Below are 25,023 nucleotides of genomic sequence, written 5' to 3'. Positions count from 1 at the left end.
CTAGGGGAACGATGTTGAACAAGATCTAGTCTATATGTGAGGAATTCACAGTTTTAGGAGGAAAATATGATCTTTAGAAAGATAAATTAAGATATGACATGGTAAATGCTGTTACAGAGATGTGAGCAAAATACCAATGGAGGACGGATGGAGCAAGAATGGATCTTGAAGGAGGCTGGAATTCTCACAGCATTTGAAATGGATAGTGAAGTAATAATAGCAATTTGCCAGGAAAAAAAAATTCAGGTGTGGTATTCCAGTCTGGAAGGTTGGTCCTAATGTCTGGCATTTACCAGATGAGATAGTCAATAAGAAAATAACATAAAGTGCAAGAGAAATACAAATGCAGGAGAGGCAGCGAAGTCTGGTAGCAGCCTGAACAAACAGTTTCCTCTACTAGCCAGCTGGGGCAGTGGTTCTCCAACTTTATTGTGAATCAGAATCACCTGGACTAAAGTGTTTGGGCTTCAATAGCTCTGAGATGGGATCAAAGGTTTTGTTATGCTAACAAGTTCTCAGGAAATGTTGATTCTCCTGATCCAGGGACCACCCTGTGAGATCCTGAAATAGGGTGCTGGAGCTTCATCTTGGAAACAATAGAGAAATGATAGAGAACTTCATGGGAGAGATATCCATATCATTGGCTTTGGTTTACAGTGTGAGATATGACTAGAGTATGGGACACTAGTAACAGGAAAATCGATTAGGGACTATTATATTTTCTAATTGAGAGAAAAATGAGGGCTTCCCATCACAATCACTTCTGGGAAGAAGAAGAATAGCTAAGAACTATTTCTCAGGTCGAAGCTATGGGATTTGGCATCCTCCTGTATTTGAGAGTTGAGAAAAAGAAAGAAGTGAGAAATGACACAGTACCATACAAAGGGCATTAATTGATGTGTAGAGTATAACACATTGGAGCAGTTCTCAAGAAGGAGGAGTTGTACGACTTCCGGTTCTAGCAATATTTCCTTATATAGAGCTTTAAAAACATTTGTGTACAATGCTGAACTCTTTTAAAAAAAACAAATCTTCTTGACACACAGGTGTGGCATAGTGTCAAATACTAACCAGAGGTTAAATAGGATGCATAATTAAAACATGTTGGATTTGGGCTGCAAGAGGTCATTGTCTTCCTAATTAAAAGAGTTTCCTTCAATGGGAGAAAATAAACTGTAATCAGTTGGAGATTGCATGGGATTTAAGAAAGTAGACACATCAAGTGTGACTGACCTCTTAAGAAATGTGATAAGGAATAGGAAGGACACAGGAACTTGATATAATGGTTGGATCAAAAGAAATTGGTGGTTTCTGTTTGAGGATAAGTGGGACTTTTATCATGTTTCAAGGCAAATGCACGTGTAAAAGAAATATTCAATTTTTTTTTTTCAAAATTCTCAAAATTAGATATCACCAATCAAGCAAGATCATAAGTAGGCATGAGGATAAAAAATATGTCAGCTGGCTCTCTAGATTCCTCCCCTCTGGGCAGGGCATGTCTGAAAGAAAGGCAGCATCCCCAGTCAGGGGCTGATAGATAAAACTCCCATCTCCCTGGGACAGAGCACCTGGGATAAGGGGCAGCTGTGTGCACAGCTTCAGCAGACTTAAATGTTCCTGCCTGCCAGCTCTGAAGACAGCAGCGGATCTCCCAGCACAGTGCCTGAGCTCTGCTAAGGGACAGACTGCCTTCTCAAGTGGGTCCCTGACCCTCGTGCCTCCTCACTGGGAGACACCTCCTCCCAGCAGGGGTCAACAGATACCTCATACAGGAGAGCTCCAGCTGGCATCTGGCAGGTGCCCCTCTGGGATGAAACCTCCAGAGGAAGGAGCAGCCAGCAATCTTTGCATTCTGCAGCCTCTACTGGTGATACCCAGGCAAACAGGGTCTGTAGTGGACCTTCAGCAAACTCCAGCAGACCTACAGAAGAGGGGCCTGACTATAGAAGGAAAACTAACAAACAGAAAGCAATAACATCAACATCAACAAAAAGGATGCCCATGCAAAAACCGCATCCAAAGGTCATCAGCATCAAAGATCAAAAATAGGTAAATCCAAGAAGACAAGGAAAAAGCAGCGCAAAAATGCTGAAAATTCAAAAAAACAGAATGCCTCTTCTCCTCCAGAGGATCACAACTCCTCACCAGCAAGGGAACAAAACTGAATGGAGAATGAGTTTGACAAATTGACAGAAGTAGGCTTCAGAAGGTGGGTAATAACAAACTCCTCCGAGCTAAAGGAACATGTTCTAACCTAATGCAAGGAAGCTAAGAACCTTAATAAAAGGTTACAGGAACTGCTAACTGGAACACTTAGTTTAGAGAAGAACATAAATGACCTGATGGAGCTGAAAAACACAGCACGTGAACTTCATGAAGCATACACAAGTATCAATAGCCGAATCAATCAAGTGGAAGAAAGGGTATCAGGGATTGAAGATCAACTTAATAAAATAAAGCATGAAGACAAGATTAGAGAAAAAAAGAATGAAAGGAAGGAACAAAGCCTCCAAGAAATATTGGACTATATGAAAAGACCAAACCTACGATTGATTGGTGTACCTGAAAGTGATGAGGAGAATGGAACCAAGTTGGAAAACACACTTCAGGATATTATCCAGGAGAACTTCCCCAACCTAGTAAGACAGGCCAACATCCAATTTCCGGAAATACAGAGAACACAACTAAGATACTCCTCAAGAAGAGGAACCCCAAGACACATAATCATCAGATTCACCAAGGTTGAAATGAAGGAACAAATGTTAAGGGCAGCCATAGAGAAAGGTCAGGTTACCCACAAAGGGAAGCCCATCAGACTAATAGCGGATCTCTCTGGAGAAACCCTACAAGCCAGAAGAGAGTGGGGGCCAATATTCAACATTTTTAAAGAAAAGAATTTTCAACCCAGAATTTCATATTCAGCCCAACTAAGCTTCATAAGTGAAGGAGAAATAAAACCCTTTACAGACAAGCAAATGCTGAGGGATTTTTGTTACCACCAGGCCTGCCTTATAAGAGCTCCTGAAGGAAGCACTAAATATGGAAAGGAAAAACTGGTACCAGCCACTCCAAAACACATACCAAAATATAAAGAAAAACAACACTATGGAGAAACTGCATCAACTAATGAGCAAAATAACAAGCTAGCATCAAAATAACAGGATCAAATTCACACATAACAATATGAACCTTAAATGTAAAAGGGCTAAATGCCCCAGTTAAAAGACACAGACTGGCAAATTGGATAAAGAGTCAAGACCCATTGGTGTGCTGTATTCAGGAGACCCATGCCACATGCAAAGACACACATAGGCTTAAAAGAAAGGGATGGAGGAATATTTACCAAGCAAATGGAAAGCAAAAAAAAAGGAGGGGTTGCAATCCTAGTCTCTGATAAAACAGACTTCAAACCAACAAAGATCAAAAAAGACAAAGAAGGGCATTACATAATGGTAAAGGGATCAATGCAACAAGAAAAGCTAACTATCGTAAGTATGTATGCACCCAATACAGGAGCACCCAGGTTTATAAAGCAAGTTCTTAGAGACCTACAAAGAGACTTAGACTCCCACACAATAACAGTGGGAGACTTTAATGCCCCACTGTCATTATTAGACAGATCAACGAGACAGAAAATTAACAAAGATATTCAGAACTTGAACTCAGCTCTGCACCAAGTGGACCTTACAGACATCTATAGAACTCTCCACCCCAAATCAACAGAATATACATTCTTCTCAGCAGCACATCACACTTACTCTAAAATTGGCCACATAATTGGAAGTAAAACACTCCTCAGCAAATGTAAAAGAACAGAAATTATAACTGTCTCTCAGACCACAGTGCAATCAAATTAGAACTCAGGATTAAGAAACTCACTCAAAACCAGACAACTACATGGAAACTGAACAACCTGCTCCTGAATGCCTACTGGATAAATAATGAAACTAAGGCAGAAATAAATAAGTTCTATGAAACCAATGAGAACAAAGACACAACATACCAGAATCTCTGGGACACAGCTAAAGCAGTGTTTAGGGGGAATTTATAGCACTAAATGTCCATATGAGAAAGCAGGAACGATCTAAAATTGACACCCTAACATCACAATTAAAATAACTAGAGAAGCAAGAGCAAACAAATTCAAAAGCTAGCAGAAGAAAAGAACTAACTAAGATCAGAGCAGAACTGACAGAGATAGAGACATGAAAAACCCTTCAAAAAAAATCAATGAATCCAGGAGTGGTTTTTTGAGAAGATTAACAAAATAGACCACTAGCCAGACTAATAAAGAAGAAAAGAGAGAAGAATCAAATAGACACAATAGAAATGATAAAGGGGATATCACCACTGATTCCACAGAAATACAAACTACCATCAGAGAATACTTTAAACACCTCTACACAAAAAAACTAGAAAATCTAGAAGAAATGGTAAATTCCTGGACACATAAACACCATCCCAACCTCCCAAGACTAAACAAGGAAGAAGTCAAATCCCTGAATACACCAGCAACAAGTTCTGAAATTGAGCCAGTAATTAATAGCCTACCAACCAAAAAAAGCCCATGTCTAGACAGATTCACAGCCAAATTCAAAGAGGAGCTGGTACCACTCCTTCTGAAACTATTCCAAACAATAGAAACAAAGAGGGACTCCTCCCTAACTTATTTTATGACTCCAGCATCATCCTGATACCAAAACCTGGCAGAGACACAACAACAACAAAAAGAAAGTTTTAGGCCAATATCCCTGATGAACATCAATGCGAAAATGCTCAATAAAATACTGGCAAACTGAATCCAGCATTACATCAAAAAGCTTATCCACCATGATCAAGTTGGCTTCATCCCTGGGATGCAAGGCTGGTTCAACATACACAAATGAATAAACGTAAGCCATCACATAAACAGAACCAATGACAAAAACCACATAAGTCTCTCAGTAGATGTAGAAAAGGCCTTCAACACCCTTTCATGCTAAAAACACTCAATAAACTAGGTATTGATCGAACATATCTCAAAATAATAAGAGCTATTTATGACAAACCCATAGCCAATATCATACTGAATGGGCAAAAGCTGGAAGCATTCCCTTTGAAAACTGGCACAAAGGCTGGGCGTGGTGGCTCATGCCTATAATCCCAGCACTTTGGGAGGCCAAGACGGGCAGGTCACAAGGTCAGGAGTTCAAGGCCATCCTGGCCAACATGGTGAAACCCTGTCTCTACTAAAAATACAAAAAATTAGCTGAGCGTAGTGGCGAGTTCCTGTAATCCCAGCTACTCAGGAGGCTGAGGCAGGAGAATTGCTTGAACTCTGGAGGCAGAGGTTGCAGTGAGCTGAGATTGTGCCATTTCCCTCCAGCCTGGGCAACAGAGTGAGACTCCATCTCAAAAAAAAAAAAAAAAAGAAAAGAAAAGGAATTTTAAAATATGTATCATTCTTTTTAACCAATGGCTCTGGACCAACTGGCGTGCAAGTGCAAAAAAATGAACCTAGACATAAACCTTTCACTCTTTGCAAAAAACTCAAAATAGATCAGAGACCTAAATGTAAAACACAAAATTATAAAGTTCCTAGAAGACAACATAGGAGAAAATCTAGTTGATCTTGGGTTTGGTGATGAGTTTTTATCTACAACCCCAAAGGCACAATTCATGAAAGAAAGAACTGATAAGCTGGATTTGATTAAAATTAAAAATGCCTGCTCTATTAAAGCCCACTGCCAAGAAAATGAAAGATAAGCCACAGACTGGAAAAAAATATTTGCAGAAGACATACCTAACAAAAGGCTGTTACCCAAAATATACAAAGAAGTCTTAACATTCAAAGATATGAAAACAAACAGTAAAAATGGGCCAAAGACCTTAACAGACATCTTACCAAAGAAGACATATAGATGGTAAATAAGCATAAGAAAAGATGCCTTACAGCATAAGTCATCAGAAAAATGCAAATGAAAACAACAATGAGATACACACCTATTAGAATAGCCAAAATTCAGAACACTGACAACACCAAATGCTGAAAAGTTTATAAAGTAATAGGAACTCTCATTCATTGATGGTGGGAATGCAAAATGGGACAGATGCTTTCAAAGACAGTTTGATAGTTTCTTACAAAACTAAACGTGGTTACTGTACAATCCGCAATCATGCTCCTTGGTATTTAGCACAAAAAATAAAAAACTTTTATCCACACAAGAACCTATGCATGGATGTTTATAGCTGGTTTATTCATAATTACCAAAACTTGGAGGCAATTAAGATGTCCTTCAGTAGATGATGGATAAATAAACTGCTGTACCTCCAGATAATGGAATATTATTTGGTGTTAAAAAGAAAGAAACTACCACGCCATGAAAAGACATAGAAGAAATTCAGATGCACATTACTAAGTAAAAAAAAAGCCAATCTGAAAAGGCGACATATTGTATGATTCCATACTATATATTACCAATATAACATTTTGGTAAAGACAAATTATACAGACAGTAAAAAGTAAAAGGCAAAATTATAGAGACAGTAAAAAATCTGGAAAGGCTATATACTGTATGATTCCATACTGTATGTTACCAATATAACATTTGGTAAAGGCAAAATTATAGAGACAGTAAAAAGAATAGTTGTTGCCAAGGGGTTTGGGGAAGGAGGGATGAATAGGTGGAGAACAGAGGATTTCTAGGACAGTGAAAATACTCTGTATGATACTATAATAATGGATACATGTCATTCATATCCACATTTGTCCAAACTCATAGAATGTCCAACACCAAAAACAAAATTAAAAAAAACCCTAAAATATAGACTCTGAGTGACGATAATGTATCAATGTAGTTCCATCAGTTGTAATAAATGTACCACTTTGGTGGAGGACTTTGATAATGAGGGAGCTATCATGTGTGTGGGCAGGAGGTAGATGAGATAACTCTGTACCTTCCTCTCAATTTTGCTGTGAAGCTTAAACTGCTCTAAAAATTGTCTATAATTTAAAAAACATTGAAAAAAATAAAAATTTACTCTCTTCGATTCAGCTATTCTATTTCTGAGAATTTAACTGTGATTGTCTTTTGACGTGTCAACCTGGCTAGATTACAGTTCCCACTTACAAACACTTAGGTAGGTGATGCTATGAAGATATTATTTTTTAGATGTGATTAAGGTTTGTAATCAATTGGCTCTAGTAAGGGAAATTATTGAATATCATAGGTAATATGTGTAAGTCTTATTCAATCAGTTAAAATTAAATGCAGAGTTAGGCTTCTTTGAAGAAGCATTTCTGCCTGTAGGTACCAGTTTCCTTCCTTCCTTCCTTCCCTTCTTTTCCTTCCTTCCCTTCTTTCCCTCCCCTCCCCTCCCCTCCCTCCCTCCCTCCCTCCCTCCCTCCCTCCCTCCCTCCCTCCCTCCCTCCCTCCCTCCCTCCCTCCCTTCCTTCCTTCCTTCCTTCCTTCCTTCCTTCCTTCCTTCCTTCCGTCCTTCCTTATTTTTTCTATACAGAGTCTGGCTTTGTTGACCAAACTGGCCTGGAACTCCTGGCTTCAAGCAATCCTCCTGATGAAGTCAGATATTATAAAGGAAGAGATAAGCACTCTGAATTTTCAAATACTTTTTGGTACTAAGGTCTAATAACTTGCCTTTATTCAAGTTACAGTTTGTGAGACATTACATAGAGTGACTAGTAAATGATTACCATAACAAGCACAATCAGTCAGCAAGATAAATACATAGAAAGCACAGATAAGATAGTTACTATGATTCTGCTTGGTGAACAACTGCCTGAAATTAGATTTTCAGCAGAATTTTTTTCTATCAAAATGAACCATAATTTAAGTGGTTATAATAGGCATATATTTTAATGCTTGTATATCTGACTTCTATACAAAATTAATGCTTCTCACTACCCCGTTACTCTCATCACCCCATTTGTGAGTGTTCTGGCAGGTCTTTGCATATGCCTCTGAACATACCTTTCTTCTCTCCTAAGCTATCAGAGGAGTCAGGGAAAAAAAGATATAGATGAAATAAGAGTTATATACCCATGAGATGATTTAAGTAGTTAAATCAATATGGAGTATATACAGAGAAAGGTATGAAATGAATTCCCCACTTTCTTCTATGATTTGTTCAATGAAGATAAAAACTTGGTAATATACCTTAGTCCTAGCTGCCACATTCAGTTGCTTAATATCTAATCTATTATCACTACTTAAAACATATTTTGTATAGCCATTTATAGACACATCAAATCTAAAGCAAATAGCTCAATAGCAGAAACCACTGTTTTCTAAGAATTATACTACCCTTCTTTGTTTATCAAAAGATTTATTGGGCAAATATGTATATATGCATAGGAATATTGATATATCTCAATAGGTCAAATCCACAAATACGTAATTTAAAGGCACAAGAATCTTGATAACAAAGATTCACAACACAACATCAGTGTTTGGTATCCAGATACCAAATTCTGCTTGCCTTCTGTCTCTGGATCATGGAGTGACTACAGATTTTCAGATCTGGAAGGACTAGAAGTTTGGAAGATTCTGAGATCATAAAGCAGGGTTTAGGTTAAGAATGTCATGCAATGCATCTGTATGCCTCCCTCCCCCAGTGCTCCTTGGGGCACCAGGTCCTTTGAAAGGGCATCATCCTGGTGAGGGTATGCTCTTTGGTAAGCAATCCTGAACTCTATGAGATCATAATCATAATTTTATATAAAAATTCTGGAAGAAGTCAATAAACTTTGGCAATGTGCTATGGGCATGTGAGCTTATTAGAGAAAATGCAGTGATTGTGAAGGGCTGATGACAATTCTGAATCCTCTTCTTTATGGCCATCTGTTTTCATTTATATTCAGTTGTTCATCTGTTATTCATTCAAGAAGGTTTATTAGTAGCCTAGACATATTTAAGTAGTTGAATCATTGAGTCTACATAGAAAGTTAATAATATGAAGCTGAATCATTGAATCTACGTAGAAAGTTAATAATATACTCAATGATCAGTGATATGGTTCGGCTATGTCCCCACCCAAATTTCATCTTAAATTGTAGTTCCCATAATTCCCACATGTTGTGGGAGGAATGTGGTGGGAGGTAATTGAATCATGGGGACAATTACCTCCATACTGTTCTTGTGATAGTGAGTGAGTTCTTACGAGATCTGTTGGTTTTATAAGGGGCTTTTCCCCTCCTTCACTTTGCACTTCTCCTTGCTGCTGCCATATGAAGAAGGACATGCCTGCTTTCCCTTCCGCCATGATTGTAAGTTTCCTGAGGCCTCCCTAGCCATGCTGAACTGTGAGCAAATTAACCTCTTTCCTTTATAAATTATTCAGTCTTTATTATGTCTTTATTAGCTGCGTGAGAACGGACTAATAGAGTCAGAAAAGATTAAAGTTAAAAGATAAAAGATTATATTCTGCTTGTTATATATTCTGCATGTATATATGTGTACTAGAACTGGAACATTTTGTTATAGTATCATAAATGGATAAAGACAGTGAGGATATGGAGCAACTATACTCTCACATGCTGCTGATAGGAATTGTACGACTACTTTCGGAAACAGCTTGGCAGTTTCTTTGAAATTTAAGTATACACTTACCTCCTAGAAATTTACTCGAGAGACTTGTATACTTCAAATCAAAAATAAAATTCTAAGCCCGCAAACATTCTGAATGGACCTCTCCTCTCAGCCAAGGGCATTCCAAAGTTAACCTGTAAAACTAGTTCAGGCCATGATGGGAAGGAGAAGTCAGACGTGCCTCAATACCATTAACATCAACACAGACCTTAAAACTGATAGAAAAGGCTCTTTAAGTCTGATAAGAAACATTTACAATCTATTCTCTCTGAAGCCTACTACCTGGAGGCTTCATCTGGATGATAAAACCTTGGTCTCCACAACCCTTTATTGTAACCCAGACATTTCTTTCTACTGATTCCAGGTCTTTATTTTAATTTTACTTTTCTTAAAACTCCCACGACAGATTAGATTCCAGGTCTTTATATAACTCAACCAACTGCCAATCAGAAAAATCTTTTAATCTGCCTATGACCTGGAAGCCTCCACATCCTGTTGTCCTACATTTCGGGACCAAACCAATGTACATCTTACATGTACTGACTGATGTTTTTTGTCTCTCAGAAATGTGTAAAACCCAGTTGTAGCCTATTACTTTGGGCACATGTCATCAGGACTTTCTGAGGCTGTGTCATGGCCGCGTCCTTAACCTTGGCAAAATAAACTTTTAAATTGATTAAGACTTGTCTCAGGTACTTTTTGGTTTACAATACCAATGTTAATAGCAGCTTTATTTCTAAAAATCAAAAATTGGAAACAATCCAAATGTCATCAACAAGTGAATGGATAAACAAATTATGGTACATCCATGTGTGACGTACTATTTGGCAATAAAAAGAAAAAGATATGAATGCATGCAACAATGTGGATAAATCTCCACATCATTGTGCTGAGTACACACTGTATGATTTCATTCATACAAAACTCAAGAAAATGAAAAGAAATCTATAGTGACAGAAATTAGATCAGCATTTGCCTCAGGATGGAGCTAGAGAGAGAAATAAATTTAAAAAGAACTTAAAGATACTTTTGGGGTGATAGAGTTGATCATCTTGATGGTTGCAATGGTTCTAAAACAGACCAAACTTTATACATTCAATATGTAAAGTTTGATTACATCTCAAGTAAGCCATTTTTTAAAAAAGACTCCAAGTTCAAGCCCTGCTGACTGGAAGCACTGTAGTGTTATAGGTAGAAATAAGAGGGTAATATAACAGGAGAAAAGGTTGACTTGGTGGTAAATTTGCTTCCCATTTCAAACATTTTGAATTTGAAGTGGCCATCTGCAGCAAGGAGAAATGAAAATCTAGAGAATGGGAAAGAGTTCAAAGCTCAAAGAAAAGATGTACTAGCAATCCTCATAGAAGCATAAAAGCTTAGGGCTGGCTGGGCACCGTGGCTCACACCTATAGGCCCAGCACTTTGGGAGGCTGAGGCGGGTGGATCACGAGGTAAGGAGATGGAGACCATCCTGGCCAATATGGTGAAACCCCGTCTCTACCAAAAATACAAAAATTAGCTGGGTGTGGTGGCGCATGCCCGTAATCCTAGCTACTTGGGAGTTTAAGGCAGGAGAATCACTTGAACCAGGGGGTCGGAGGTTGTGGTGAGCTGAGATCACATCACTGCACTCAAGCCTGGTGACAGAGCTAGACTCCATCTCAAAAAAAAAAAAAAGAAAAAGAAAAAACCTTACGGTTGGCCTGGCACAGTGGCTCACACCTATAATCCCAGCACGTTGGGAGGCCAAGGTGGGCAGATCACAAGATCTGAAGACCGAGACCATCCTGGCTAACACAGTGAAACCCCGTCTCTACTAAAAATACAAAAAATTAGCCAGGCGTGGCAGGCACCTGTAGTCCCAGGTACTTGGGGAGGCTAAGGCAGGAGAATTACTTGAACCTGGGAGTTGGAGGTTGCAGTGAGCCAACATGGTGCTGCTGCACTCCAGCCTGGGTGACAGAGCAAGACTCAGTCTCAAAAAAAAAAAAAAAAAAAAAAAAAAAAACAAAAAACATGGCTTAGGGATGAGGGAGATGAGAACTGAAAAAGAGATTGAATTGCAAATATTAGGACCATCAAGTTAGAAAAGTACAATGAAAAACAAACCTTTAGGAAACTGAGAAAGGTGTTAGACCAGTGGCAAAATCAGGAAACCACTGTTTCATGAAAGCCATAGGAGAAGAGGGATGTGACAAGGAAGACGAGGTGGCCGACATCAGGCAAGCAGTGCAAACGATGTGAAGGATGAGGACTGACAAACAGCAGTGGGTTTGGTGATTAGAAAGCCACCAACAATTCCCTTGGGAAATATTTTTTTAAAGTAGACAAAAAGTTATCAAAAAGTATGTTAATCTCACTATTTTTTATAAAATCAAAAATTAAAAACAACACAAAAGTCTAATAAGAGAGGAAACAAATTATGTCACATTTGTACCAAGAAATATTTTGTAGCAATTAAAATATTTATGAAGAATTTTTTGCAATATGGAATTAATGATGAGGTAAACTTTAGGAATCAAAATTGTTTGTATATATATGTGTCTGTATATGTGTAGGTGTGCATTTGCATATATATAATGATATATAGAAAAAATGAATGTGAGGTAATATGAGAAAATAACAGTACTTACACTTCACAGTAGTGAGATTATAAATGATGGTTTCACATATCTTTTTATTTTTTCTGTACTTTCTGCAAATGTTATCTTTTTTAATAAACTATTTTATCATTATAATACAAATGTTTGATATATCAAAAAATATACGTGAATTTGGCTGGGTGCAGTGGCTCAGACCTGTAATCCCAGCACTTTGGGAGGCTGAGGAGGGTGGATCACCTGAGGTCAGGAGTTCAAGACCAGCCTGGCCAACATGGTAAAACCCCATGTCTACTAAAAATACAAAAATTAGCCAGGCATGGTGGTGGTCAACTGTAATCCCAGCTACTTGGGAGGGTGAAGCAGGAGAATCGCTTGAACCTGGGAGGCGGAGGTTGCAGTGAGCCGAGATTGCACCACTGTTCTCCAGCCTGGGCAACAGAGCAAGACTGCATCTCAAACAAACAAATATATATATATATATATATATATTTGAATTATCTGAAACAAATTCAGATATATATCTGATATATATCAGACATATATAATTTTTGTTCAGTAAAATATCAAAAAAAGTGGGTTAATTTTAGAAAACAGAAAAATATGTAAATATTTAAAAGAAAAAGAAACCCATATTCTCATGTCCCAGAATAACATGTTGGTGTATGTCTGTAGGCTTTTAAGATGTTATTCTATATTCTACATAAAGTATTCAAGTCTAGCTTTTGCCTTACTACTGCAGCCACTATCCTTTATACACACGGTATGAGTGACTGCAATTCCCTTGTTGCTTAATAGAATGTTTCCTTTATTTCTCTGTTATCAATAGGTCTGCAATGCATACCTAGGTATATCTAGTTATGTCCTTTTTTCAGAATATAAAGATACCAGGTTTTAATAATACGAACATTTTTAAGCCTGCAATGTATATTGCAGCACATTATTATATGGATGTTAAATAAATTAAGTATTGAGAAGACACTTAAAATGATGCTTGGCCTTTAATAAGTGACACATACACTATTGGTAGAAATCTACAAGATATACACAGCCAGACATGGTGGCTCAATACTGTAATTCCAACACTTTGGGTGGCTGAGATGGGAGGATTGCTAGAGATCAGCATTGAGACCAGTCTGGATAACATAGTGAGACACTCTCTCTAAAAAAAATAAAAAATGAGCGGGGCATGGTGGCATTCCTGTAGTCCCAGCTACTCCAGAGACCGAGACAGGAGGATTGCTTTAGCCCACAAGTTCAAGGCTACAGAGAGCTATGATCACTCCACTGTGCTACAGCTTGGGTGACAAAGCAAGGCCCTTTCTCAAAAAAAAAAAAAAAATTTAAAAAAAGATATGCACAACAATAAATAATAAATATGGTCCCCATCTGTGAAAATATAAAGAACCAGGGGTTTGTTAAAGAATAGATTTCTAGACAGAGTGACGAATTGAAAAATCCAAACTGCAGTCATTCCCTATTTTTACCAAATGGCTCTGGAAAGAAGCTGACCTCTTTTTTGAGACTGTTCTTCCACTCTCACTGCTAACATCACGAAGTAGGGAATCAAAAGCAAAAGCACTTGGACTTGTTGGAGAAAATAGCTGTTGTGTCAGTAGCTTTTATCACTGCCTAAGATCCAGTGCTGACTCCTGAGGTCTGTAACTCTCCAAAATACACAGTACAGGAACCACTAAAGGGCACGGCAATGAATAAAAGAAGAATTCTACTTCAGCTCATTTTTTTTTCTTACTCAAAAAGAAAACTAGAAGTCTAAGTTGAAAAAAAAATGCTCACTAGTACACCAAGGTATAGGGAAAGGAAATTTGAGATAAGAAGCAGCTAACCATATTTCCAATTTTAAAAGCCTGGGTCCTAGAAGTATTTCATGTCAATGCCCCAGGCTCACAGATTTAGGGAAAATGGAGATATTAAAAGCTAACTTACTGAGCATGAATAAGACTTGAATTAAATGTGTGGTTAAATAATCGAGGGAAAAACCATAGTCATCTGGGATTCAAAATGAAAACCAATAACTATAAGGCAATCCTGATGATTCCAGGCCACTGATGTCAGTAAATAAAACTGCACCTGGACTAAACAGACTCAGCATTGATCAAAATGATGGGAAGGGAACTGAATGTAGGAAAGGGTATTTGGTAACTCATTTTGTTTATTTGGTTTCCATTGCCTGGCCCAAAAGCTACTCTCAATCTCCACATTTAGCTTCCAATCCTAGAGACCATTCTGAAGAGATGAGTTAGTAAGTGAGTTAGTAAGTCATTAGTTGGAGTCTCAGATATGACACCCTTCCTTGTCCAAGAGACTTGATGAACTCTTAAGACTCATGGAGAGTCTACAAGATTCTGGTCTAGACCCATTAGATTTTGCAGAGATTAACAATTTGCAGTTTGCACAGTCAAAGCTACTAGTAACATTTTAAAGAGAATTTACAATAAGAAATTGATGTGGTTACTTAGCATTAAGGGAGGAAGAGGTCAAGGGTTAACAATGACATTTGAAACACAATGCTGAATTATGCAGTGTAATGGCCTCAAACCACGTGGATTTGAATTCAATTCCTTTATTTATTAACTGTGTGATCTTTGGCAAGTCATGACACATCTCTTAGAGTCAGAAACAAATGTAAAAATACTCACAAAGACACTCCTCTCGAAAAGTGGAGTCTTTTTCCCCATACTTTGAACCTGGTAGGAGTCGTGACTTGCTTTGACCAACAGAATGCAACAAAAATGAGGTTATGCTAGTGTCACGCCTGGGCCTCAAGAGGTCTTGCAGTTTCCATTTGAGAGCTTTAGAAACTGTGAGACTACTACATGAACAAGCCAGGGCTAGCAGGCTAGAGAATGAGAAACTGTGTGGGGAGAGGCCCTGTTGGAGTAGGACCTAGCTAAGGTCTTTATAGACCAGTCAAGCCCCAACTGGCTCACCAGCTGATCACAGGTTCATAGAGCTCAGCCAAGATCACCTATTCCTGGCTAACTAAGACCAAGAACAAGCCAGCTAAGCTGCACCCAAGGCATCAATCCACAGAATCTTGAGTTAAATGATGGGTTGATATTTTAAGCCACTAATTTTAGAGGTAGTGCGTTAATCACAAAAGAGAATTGACAGATATCTCATCCATAAAATGAGATAACAAAAGCACCTGCCTAATAGGATTGTTGGGAGATTCAAATGAGATAATATATGTAAACCACTTTGTGCCTGGCCAGAGTAATTAAAGTACTCAAACATGTTAGCAATGACTATTATTATTTATTATTGATAAAGATTATCTTGTGAAGGGACTTTTTCAAAAGTATGACAGGTTACGCAGCTAACATGTTATCTGGTAGGCTATAAAATTTCCACTCTGAGAAAATATTTACATCATGAGCTACAGTGCTGCTTGCTCTCCTACTACACTGTCTGAAAATCACTCTCTCTGATAGGGAAGCTGGAGGTGCTCCTCTAGATGACTGCCGTTAATGTAAACATATTACCCAAGAAGAGAGGAGGAAACCTTATGGTTCTTCTCCCTACTAATCTATCAGCTTATATTCTTCCATCAAATAAGCTTTTTGTCTTGTGTGGCATCAAGTTGGACCAAACAGATGTAAGGAAGGGAGGAAGGAGAGCATGAGAACAGTGTCATTAAAAAGACAGAGGTAACAGAAGGACCACATAGAGCTTGAGGAGAATATTTTGTTCATTTTTGTTTCACCATTAGATAGGACTCTTAGCCACATTCCATTAAATATTACTATGAACAAAAATGCTCATTTACATATAAGATTTAGAATTTTATTCCAGTGAATCTTCTCATTATGCCCCCAAACCCTAAAATTTGAAGGATACATTCCTAAAAATATATTCTAAAAAAATACATCCCTAAACCTATAACTGCTGGTCAAACACTACCCTTTTTAATCTTCCCTTCATTTTTTGCATAATTTTCTGATTTTTTACAAGGCTTTTCCAGCAATGCATTAACTTTTACACTAACAAGTATTAATGTAGTTCCTGTATTTCCCCGAAAGGACTATAAAACGGCAAGGCTTTTAGGATTTAAGGCTGGGATATAAATACTCAACCCAGGTGTTTCTAAATCACCTTCCACAATCTCAAACGATGCTATACTTGAAGAGCTCTGGCAAAATGTCTTAAATTGTATTCTGTGTTTGTACCAAGTTATGTTATATCCAGAATAAATGCATAAAATAAAGCAAAGCCTGCTGACATATTTATTTTCAGAATAGGTCTGTCATATGAACTTTATCATCATATTTGAAAATCCAGCTGTGGAAAGGTATGCATACTAGATAAATGACTATTGGGCCTTTGCCAGACCACAAAATTGAATCATATAAAGAAAAATTCTAAACCAATGTTAGAGCAATTCATCCTTTTACGCTCTCTAATTAACCACCTAATTTCTGTCAATATCAATATAACAATCTTTTTTATGCCTATTAAAAATTACAAAAAGTTGACAACATTTTTCTGAAAATGCCCACTAAAAGTGATTTCTGGCTTTTAAAATTCTTGTCTTATCTAAAATGTTTCTATAAATATAAATGTCCTATGTGCCCAATGTAATCAGTTTTCCATTTTCAGTAAATTCCGAAGAACTCTTAAAATGTGGGCTCAACATCCTGGTGGATTGTTTCTATTAGAAAATGTGTTAGTTAGAAAGGAATGTCTCCACGTTTTCTAGCCCTCAAACCCAGGAAGGTTAACAGGTTCAAACCTAAGCATCATATCCCTCCAACTAGGAACAAACTTGTGTTTATTACCCCCAAAATACACTGCTTGAGCCAGAGTTTATGGATATGCTCAACTTGAATAATTTTTTCTTTAGCCTAAGGCACACTCTGTGTCTAGCCCCATGTATTGAGTAAGTATCTGAACCAGGTCAGTAAGTGGTTGTGATTAATGCATGCTATGCCTGAGATCTCTGGCAGTTCAGATGTGAAGCCCATAAAATATCTGACACTTTAAGATATGGACCATTTGGGAAGATACTTTCCACTTTAAATATGTTCATACAAATTAAAGTGAATTTTATTTGATGAAAATTATATGAAAACAATTATATGTTGTCAATTTAAGGAGCCAATAAATGCAATGAATAAAGCCAAGGCCTATTACATATGGCCTATGGAAATGTGTTTTATAAGATGTGGTTGATGCAGTTAATAGAATAAGTATAGAATGCTGCCAGTGTTGCATGGTCAGAGAATGAGCAAATGCTATCCCCATTATTTTCCCTTCTTTCCATTGCCACTGTGTATGTAATCAACAGAGAAATAGAGGTCTTAGGTATAAGGGACTTAATTTATTTTTCTTCATATTGCTGTATTTAATATGGAACACCGTACCTTTAGCCTACTGTACCAACGGTACAAAAGATGGTCTTGGCCTTGCCCAGCTCTTTCCCTGCTACTTTCACTGTTGAGCTATATCTTAACCTCTACTTCCCTCAGCCATTGTTGGACTCTTTCACCATTCTGGATTTGTAACAGTTTACCTATGTGTGATCTTAATAGACATTGGGAAGAAAGGAAGAATGGTCTGCTTCAGCACTTCTGTAATCTTTGACTTTCTCTCTACTGATCTTGTACTAACCTTATGCATTTTCTAGAGCCGATAAAAATATTTAAATTAATGAAGGAGAGAGCTTCTGTTTTAAGAAAGCATGTGTTTTCTCACCTTCCACAGCCCCCATTTACAATAATAAAGAAATATGAAAGCTATAAACCCACATGAAAAATATGAGTGAGGGGCTATCAGCAGACATTTTGAGAAATTTCTGGAAAATAGAAATTAGACAAACAACTAAGTGTTACCCATGTAGCAGGAAGGAAAAAGTCATCAGTTTTGATATGCCCATTAAAAGAGCTGGAGCTGAGGAGGAAGCTGGTTTCCAGGCAGAATTCTGGACTTCGTGGATGAGCTTCACTGAAACATCAGAGTACAGCAGGAAAAGGTAAGCACAGGATCCAAGAAACAGAGATTACACACAGGAGAGAGGCCAAGCAAAGCTCTGTGATGAAAGGTATGAAGTATGCCCACGGAGCAGCCAGCTGAGACTGGAACAAGAGGATGTAGCACTCCATGCAGGAAAATTCTAGAAAGGAAACACAAAATTATACATTAAAATATGATCTAAATGCATTGGCAGAATGGGTAGATAGGAATTAGAGCAGTGTCAGAGTGCTATTAATATTTCCTCCTCTTCCATAATAGGTACTCTGAAAATAATGCCTAAAGAAGACCAAGCAAACAAAGAGAAATGACAATCATATTATTTAGAAATATGTTGTTAGATACCAGAATAAACAGCTAAATGTTCAGAGTTTTTTTTTTTTTCTCATTGGTGAGGAGTGATGGCAATAAGAAATCTATGCAATTGTCTTACTTTAATTAAAAAATTGGTAACATAATTATGAGATCTAATTTACGTACTAATTAAAAATGAAAATACTCCATTGTGATGAGCATACACTTAAACAACAATTCCTATAGAAAAGTATACCTTTTATGGGTGTAAAGACATCAGTAGATATCAAGTGCCTTAACCACTGCATATCCTGAAAGCACATCCTAAAATAATAATACATATCATCAAAGATTTACATGTAGATATGTTTACCATGGTACTTTTTATATTAACGAACTTTATAAACCAGCAAAATATGCAATAGGAAAATGATTTAAAAGATTATGGTAAATATTTTTAGTAGGTTAATAAAGAGGTTGAGAATGAATTCTGAGAACCCCTGACTATTAGATTATGAGTTGCCTCTAGCTCCCTTGATCAAAGAGAAACAGGCTTTCATGTGCATACTTGGCATAATCCCTGGAGAGAAGTATATTAAGAAAATGTTTTGAAATGCTTCTTTTTAATTAAAAAAACACATGCTATAATAAAAAAGATTATGGTGTTATGCCTGGCACATAAAAGATTAAATGTTTGTTGAACTTCTAGGAAAGAATATTTTGTAGTTATTAAAATCCATATTTTGCATTTGAAAATATATTTAATGATATGGAAAATATTCATGATTTCCATGAAAAGAATAAAAATTACATGTATCACATAATTTTTTTTTTTTTTTTTGAGACGAAGTCTCACTCTGTTGCCCAGGCTAGAGTGTAGTGGTATGACCTCGGCTCACTGCAACCTCCACCTTCCAGGTTCAAGTGATCCTCCTGCCTCAGCCCCACTAGTAGCTGGGATTACAGGCACGCGCCACCATGCCTGGCTAATTTTTGTATTTTTAGTAGAGACGGGGTTTCGCCATGTTGGCCAGGCTGGTCTTGAACTCCTGAGCTCGGGTGATCCACCCACTTCGGCCTCCCAAAGTGCTGGGATTACAGGCGTGAGCCACTGCACCCAGCCAATCTTCATTTTTAATAAACACAAAATCTACATAAATATAAATAGAAAAAATAAGAAAATAAGATACGTCAAAATATTAACAAAGTTTATTTCTGGGTACAACTTGATCTTTGACTTTTAAAGAAAATTTTAATGACAATAAAATGAATGTGTGTTACTTTGAACAATTAAAAAATGAACATGTGTTACAAATTCAGAACATATTCTGAATAAAAACATTAAAAATATTGTATTTTCTTATACAATCATTTTAATACGAAGTATGAAAGTTGAAACTATAATAAGTATTCCTATCTAAAATATTTTGGTTTACATATTCTTTTTGACCTAAGGGTAGAGGATGTTATTTGCAACTCATCCAAACTCATCTTTAAAAATTTAACAAGACAGTTCAGTAGTCTATTTTTACCATAAATCTATCTTGAGAAAGAATGATGATAGCCTGAAGGTTAACATATATTCATTAATATTTTTTTAACTAAATTAGAGAAGAACATAATCCAAACAGTCTTATCCTTTCTCTAAACCTAAAAAAAAAAGTTATGAAGTACCTTTTGAACTTTTCCCCTTTGGTTTCTCAAAGCATAACATTTTTAGTTCCCATGAGTAAAGTACATTCTTCAAGCTATAAAGTGTGAGAACATTATCCTGGAAGCAAGATAATGCTAAAATACCAAATATATTTCAACATTGACAACTTTATAACTTTTATAACTTTGAAGGCATATCAAAACAATTTAAACACGTTTCCTTAACATTTACAATGTAAAACCAACTTAAAACTGTACTAAGAGGGAAAGTGCTAACAACTTTTCTAAAAATTCTTATAATTAACTCCTATTAAAATGTGTGTGTGTGTGTGTGTCTGTGTGTGTGTCTGTGTTTGAGCAAAGGGCTTTCCCATGATATTTTCCTATTCATCCTGAATCATCTTCCTAATAAAATGGAAAAGTATAGGGCCAGCTTGGTGGCTCATACCTGTAATCTCAACACTTTCAGAGGATGAGGTAGGAAGATTGCTTGAGGCCAGGAGTCTGAGACTAGCCTGGGCAGCATAGTGAGATCCCAAATCCGAAAAAATACCAATAAAAAAAAATCCAGGTGCAGTGGCACACATCTGTAGTTCTGGCTACTCACGTGGCTGCTGTGGGAGGATTGCTTGAGCCAAGGGGTTCTAGGTTGCAATGAGCTATGATTGTGCCACTGTACTCCTGCCTGGGTGACAGAAAAAGACTCTGTCTTAAAAGAAAAAAAAGAAAAGGAAAAGTATTGCCATTACTCTTGTACACACTGATCTTAAATGTTAATGGTTTATCATAAGTTTTTCTATGTAATTTCAGAATAGAAACCTATTTTAATTTATATTGTTAAAGGATGATTTAGGCTTGAAAAGTTAAGCATAATTGATAACTTCTATGCAGAATTTAATTAGCCTGAGTTGTAAATTAACAATATCTTTTATATATGTCAAAGTGTTATGGTTAAAAAATCATATTTGTTGAGAAATTCTTTGCCATGACGGAAAAAAAATGAAAGAAATAAGTTTGAGTTGCTCCTAAAAATTACAGACAATTTTCTGGATACACCATAAGACTCTAATCAATGCTTCATGGAACTGAAAAGTCCATAGGTAGGCCTGGCTTTGACTGAAGCTTCCTCCAGCATTTCAAACACTGTCTTATAATTGCACTGTTCGAGATATTGGCTTCCTCCTGGAATTCTACGAGGCAGCTTTTCATTCAAGTACAAATCACTGTATCAATTCCAGTCTCTTCTGATAGTTACTATGGAAATACAAAATTTATTTCTTAGAAAAACTAGCAAAAGTTCCTTATCTATATTGAGTTATCTTCTGGACTACTGCCAACATTCTAGGTAACCATCATCTACTCAAAACAGCAATATCCTCTTCCTTTCTTTCCGTTATCCAACCAGTCAGCCCTTTGGGACTGGAACGGCCACATGGCCACAACTTAGATGTTTTCTCCTTTTCCTACTTCTTGGTGGAAATGTTGGGTTCTGGATTGTCTACAGTTCCCCCTTGGTCATCAGATTAATGAGCCAATTGATCCCCTTTCATGCTTAAGCCAGTTTAAGTTAAGCTTTCTGACACCTATTTGGGACAACTTCTGGGAAAAGGCTATCTTTTAGCTAGTAGTTGAAGTATTTAATTTTAATATCAAATTTATTTTTTCTCTTATGGTTTGTGCATTTTGTGTTTTTTAAAAACTATTTTCCCACCCAAAGTTATAAAGATAAATCTCCTTTACCAGTGTTTCTCCAACTTTAATATTCATATAATCACCTGAAAAGTTTTCAAAATGCAGATTTAGCTTGTAGGTGGTATTGATATTACTGTTTACAGTCCTTTCATTTCTCTTTTCACATTTATGTCTTTAATCTACCTGAAAATGATTGTGAATGGTGTGAAACAAGACTAAATTCACCACACACACACCCCGTCCATATAAATAGCCAGGTATTCCTAGAACTTTTTACTGAATAATCTATCCATTCCCCACTACAGTCAGTAATACAGTATTTGTCATACATCATATTCTGTAGAGTCTGTTTGGGGGCTCTGTACTCTTCAATTAGCCTATTTGCCCTACAACAATTGCTATAAAAAATTTAATTATTGTTATAATTGCTACAATTAGGAAATAATTTTAAATATAAGACAAATCCCCCACCCTGTTTTTCTTCCTCAAAGTTGTCTTAGCTACCTTTTCTATTTTTCTCTTCTTTAATATGTATAATCTTAGACTCTGGGGGAAAAAAAACTGTCAAGACTTTGAGATTACTTGAATTAAAATTATAATCTGGGTAAGAATTAATCTGTATTGAGTCTTCCTAACACGAAGATGGTATGTCTACCCATTTATTTAGGTTTTCTTTAATATTTTGTTTTTAATTTATATAAGTTTAATAATTTTCTACATAAAGTTCATGCACATATTTTATTACGTTTGTTTTTTTGATACCATTTATCTGTTTTTTCTCTCTCTCTCTCTCTCTAAATATATATATACATATATATACACACACACACGTATACACACATACTACTTATATATATATGTAGATATATATATACATATATATGTAAATGTCCACTTATGGCTCCTATCTAGAAGTAAAATTGGTTTGGATATATTGATCTCATATCTAAAAATGTGCCAAATTCTATTAATTCTAAAAAACTGTCTGTAGTTTATTTTGGTTTTTCTACATAGCTCTTCTAATTGCTGAAAATCAGTGGTAATGAGAAATCTCAAATGTAGCAAAGCAGACAAAGTAAAAAAAGACAGATTCCATAAAGAAACAAAGATAAAAATAACAGTAGATTTCTCATCAGAAACAATGCAAACCAAAAGACCATGGAGGGCCATCTTTAAATTACTGAAAAGAATGAAAAACAACAAACAAAAAAACCAAAAATCCCTATTCACCTAAAATTGTATCCTTCATTTGAAAATGAAGGTGAAATAAAGACTTTTCCAGAATTCATCACCAGCAACTAGTATTACAAGAAAAGTTAAAGGAAACCCTTCAGGCAGAAGGAAAATTATATCAAGAAGAAATGTGGATCTACATGAAAGAATAAATAGCACTGGAAATGGTAAATAGGTTGGCACATATAAAAGACTTTTAAAAAATTATTTAAACCTTTTAAAAAGATAATGGATTGCTTATAGCAAAAGTAATGATAATGTTTTGCAGTTTATAACATATGTAGAAGTCAATGTTTGACAAAAAAAGGCTTGGCGGGCGCAGAAAGAATGAAAAGTATATTATCGTAAGGCTCTTATGTTATACTTAAAATGAGTAGTATAATATTTGAAGGTAGCCTATATTAAGTTAAATATATATACTGAAAAATGAGTAGTATAATATTTGACAGTAGCTTATAGTAAGTTAAATATATATACTACAAATCTTGGAGCAAACACACAGACACACACACAGACACACACACACACATACACACACAGGATACTTCATAAGCCAAGAAAAAAATAAAAAACATTAAAAAATATCCAGTGAAAAATAATTCAGGAAAAGAGGCAAAAAAGCAGCTAAGAACAAATGATAAAAACAGAAAACAAATATAAGAAGGTGGTAGATTTGAACCATATCCATAATCAAGTTAAATGTAAATAATCTAAACATTCCAGAGATTTTTAGATTTGATAAAAGAGCAAGACCAAATTACGTTATCTTCAGGAAACCCACTTTAAATGCACAGACTCAGATACATTAAAAGTAAAAAGATGGGAAATAAATACTGTAGTAACACTTCCTAAGAGAAATCTGGAATAGCTGTCAGACAACATAGATATCAGGAGAGAATATTACCAGAGATAAAGAGGGCCAACTCATAATAAGAAATAAGTCTCTTTATCATGAAGAAATAGCAGTCCTAAATGTTTATGCATTTAAAAACAGGTTTAAAAATACATGATAGAACTGAAAGAAAAAATAAAAGTTTTTTAGTCTTCATCTACAGTTCTAGTTGGAGACTTCAACACCTCTCTTTTTCTTATTTTTAGAGACAGGGTCTTGCTCTGTCACCCAGGCTGGAGTGCAGTGATATATTCATAGCTCACTGAAGCCACAACCTCCTCAGCTCAAGTTATCTTCCCACCTCAGCCTCTCGAGTAGCTAGGACTACAGGTGCATACCACTATGCTTGGCTAATTTAAAAAAATTTTTGTAGAGACAGGATCTGGCTATATTGACCAGGCTGGTCTTGAACTTCTGGCCTCAAATGATTCTCCTACCTCAGCCTCCCAAAGTGCTGGAATTACAGGCATGAGTGACTGTACATGGCTACACCCCTCTCTCAGTGATGAATAAATTTATAAATGGATGTTATAAAAATTTAAAACTTCTGCTCCTTAAAAAACACTGTTAATGAAATGAACGAGAAACCACAGAGTGGGGGAAAATCTTTGCAAAACTGTTCAATAGAGGCCCTTTACAACCCAACAGGAAGACAAACAACCTAAATACAATTGGGAATATCTTTGAATAGACTCTTCACCAAAGAAGATATACTAATGGCAAATAAATACTTTATGCTCAACATTTTGGACAAATGTAAGCTAAAACTACGATGAGAGACCATTACACACTGTTTTAATCACCCCCCATTCACCATGTTGGTGAGGGAGGAATTCCCACCTAGGGTTATGGGAAGGCCCAACACAAAACCCAGCACAACGCAGATGAAACTGATAACAGCTTATTAGTCATATGTACTCACAGCTTATAGGGGAGGACACTGCCTGCTCTATGGGGGTTGAATTTGGGAACAGAGAACAGCTGGGAGATGTGGGAGGCAGACTTTGTAATATGAAGAGGGTGAGACATCCCCTGGTTCCCACAGGAATATATGATTGGTTTCTTGGAACAATTTCACAGCTGG

The 25,023-nt window shown here is 36.5% G+C and overlaps 1 protein-coding gene across 7 annotated transcripts in view, besides 1 other annotated feature; it reads right to left on the bottom strand.

Moving 5' to 3' along the window:
• Positions 14,907-15,076: an enhancer, noted in NCBI's record as "active region_22163". NCBI's record gives its function as "activates an Ori minimal core promoter by ATAC-STARR-seq in GM12878 lymphoblastoid cells {active_cell/tissue: GM12878}" and the evidence as "EXISTENCE:reporter gene assay evidence [ECO:0000049][PMID:35858748]".
• Positions 16,418-25,023, bottom strand: part of CEP44 (centrosomal protein 44) — a 49,676-nt gene continuing 41,070 nt past the window's right edge. For all 7 annotated transcript variants that reach the window (XM_024454229.2, XM_011532285.3, NM_001145314.2 and 4 more), the window contains one exon: positions 16,418-18,317. In XM_024454229.2, the coding sequence (XP_024309997.1) occupies positions 18,204-18,317 (114 nt within the window). In that variant the 3' untranslated portion in view covers positions 16,418-18,203. The remainder of the gene's footprint in view (positions 18,318-25,023) is intronic.

This window comes from Homo sapiens, chromosome 4, assembly GCF_000001405.40.
Source record: "Homo sapiens chromosome 4, GRCh38.p14 Primary Assembly".
Taxonomy (NCBI): Eukaryota; Metazoa; Chordata; class Mammalia; order Primates; family Hominidae; genus Homo; species Homo sapiens.
The sequence above is the reverse complement of the archived record's forward strand: the minus strand, read 5'-3'. Positions and strand labels throughout refer to the sequence as shown.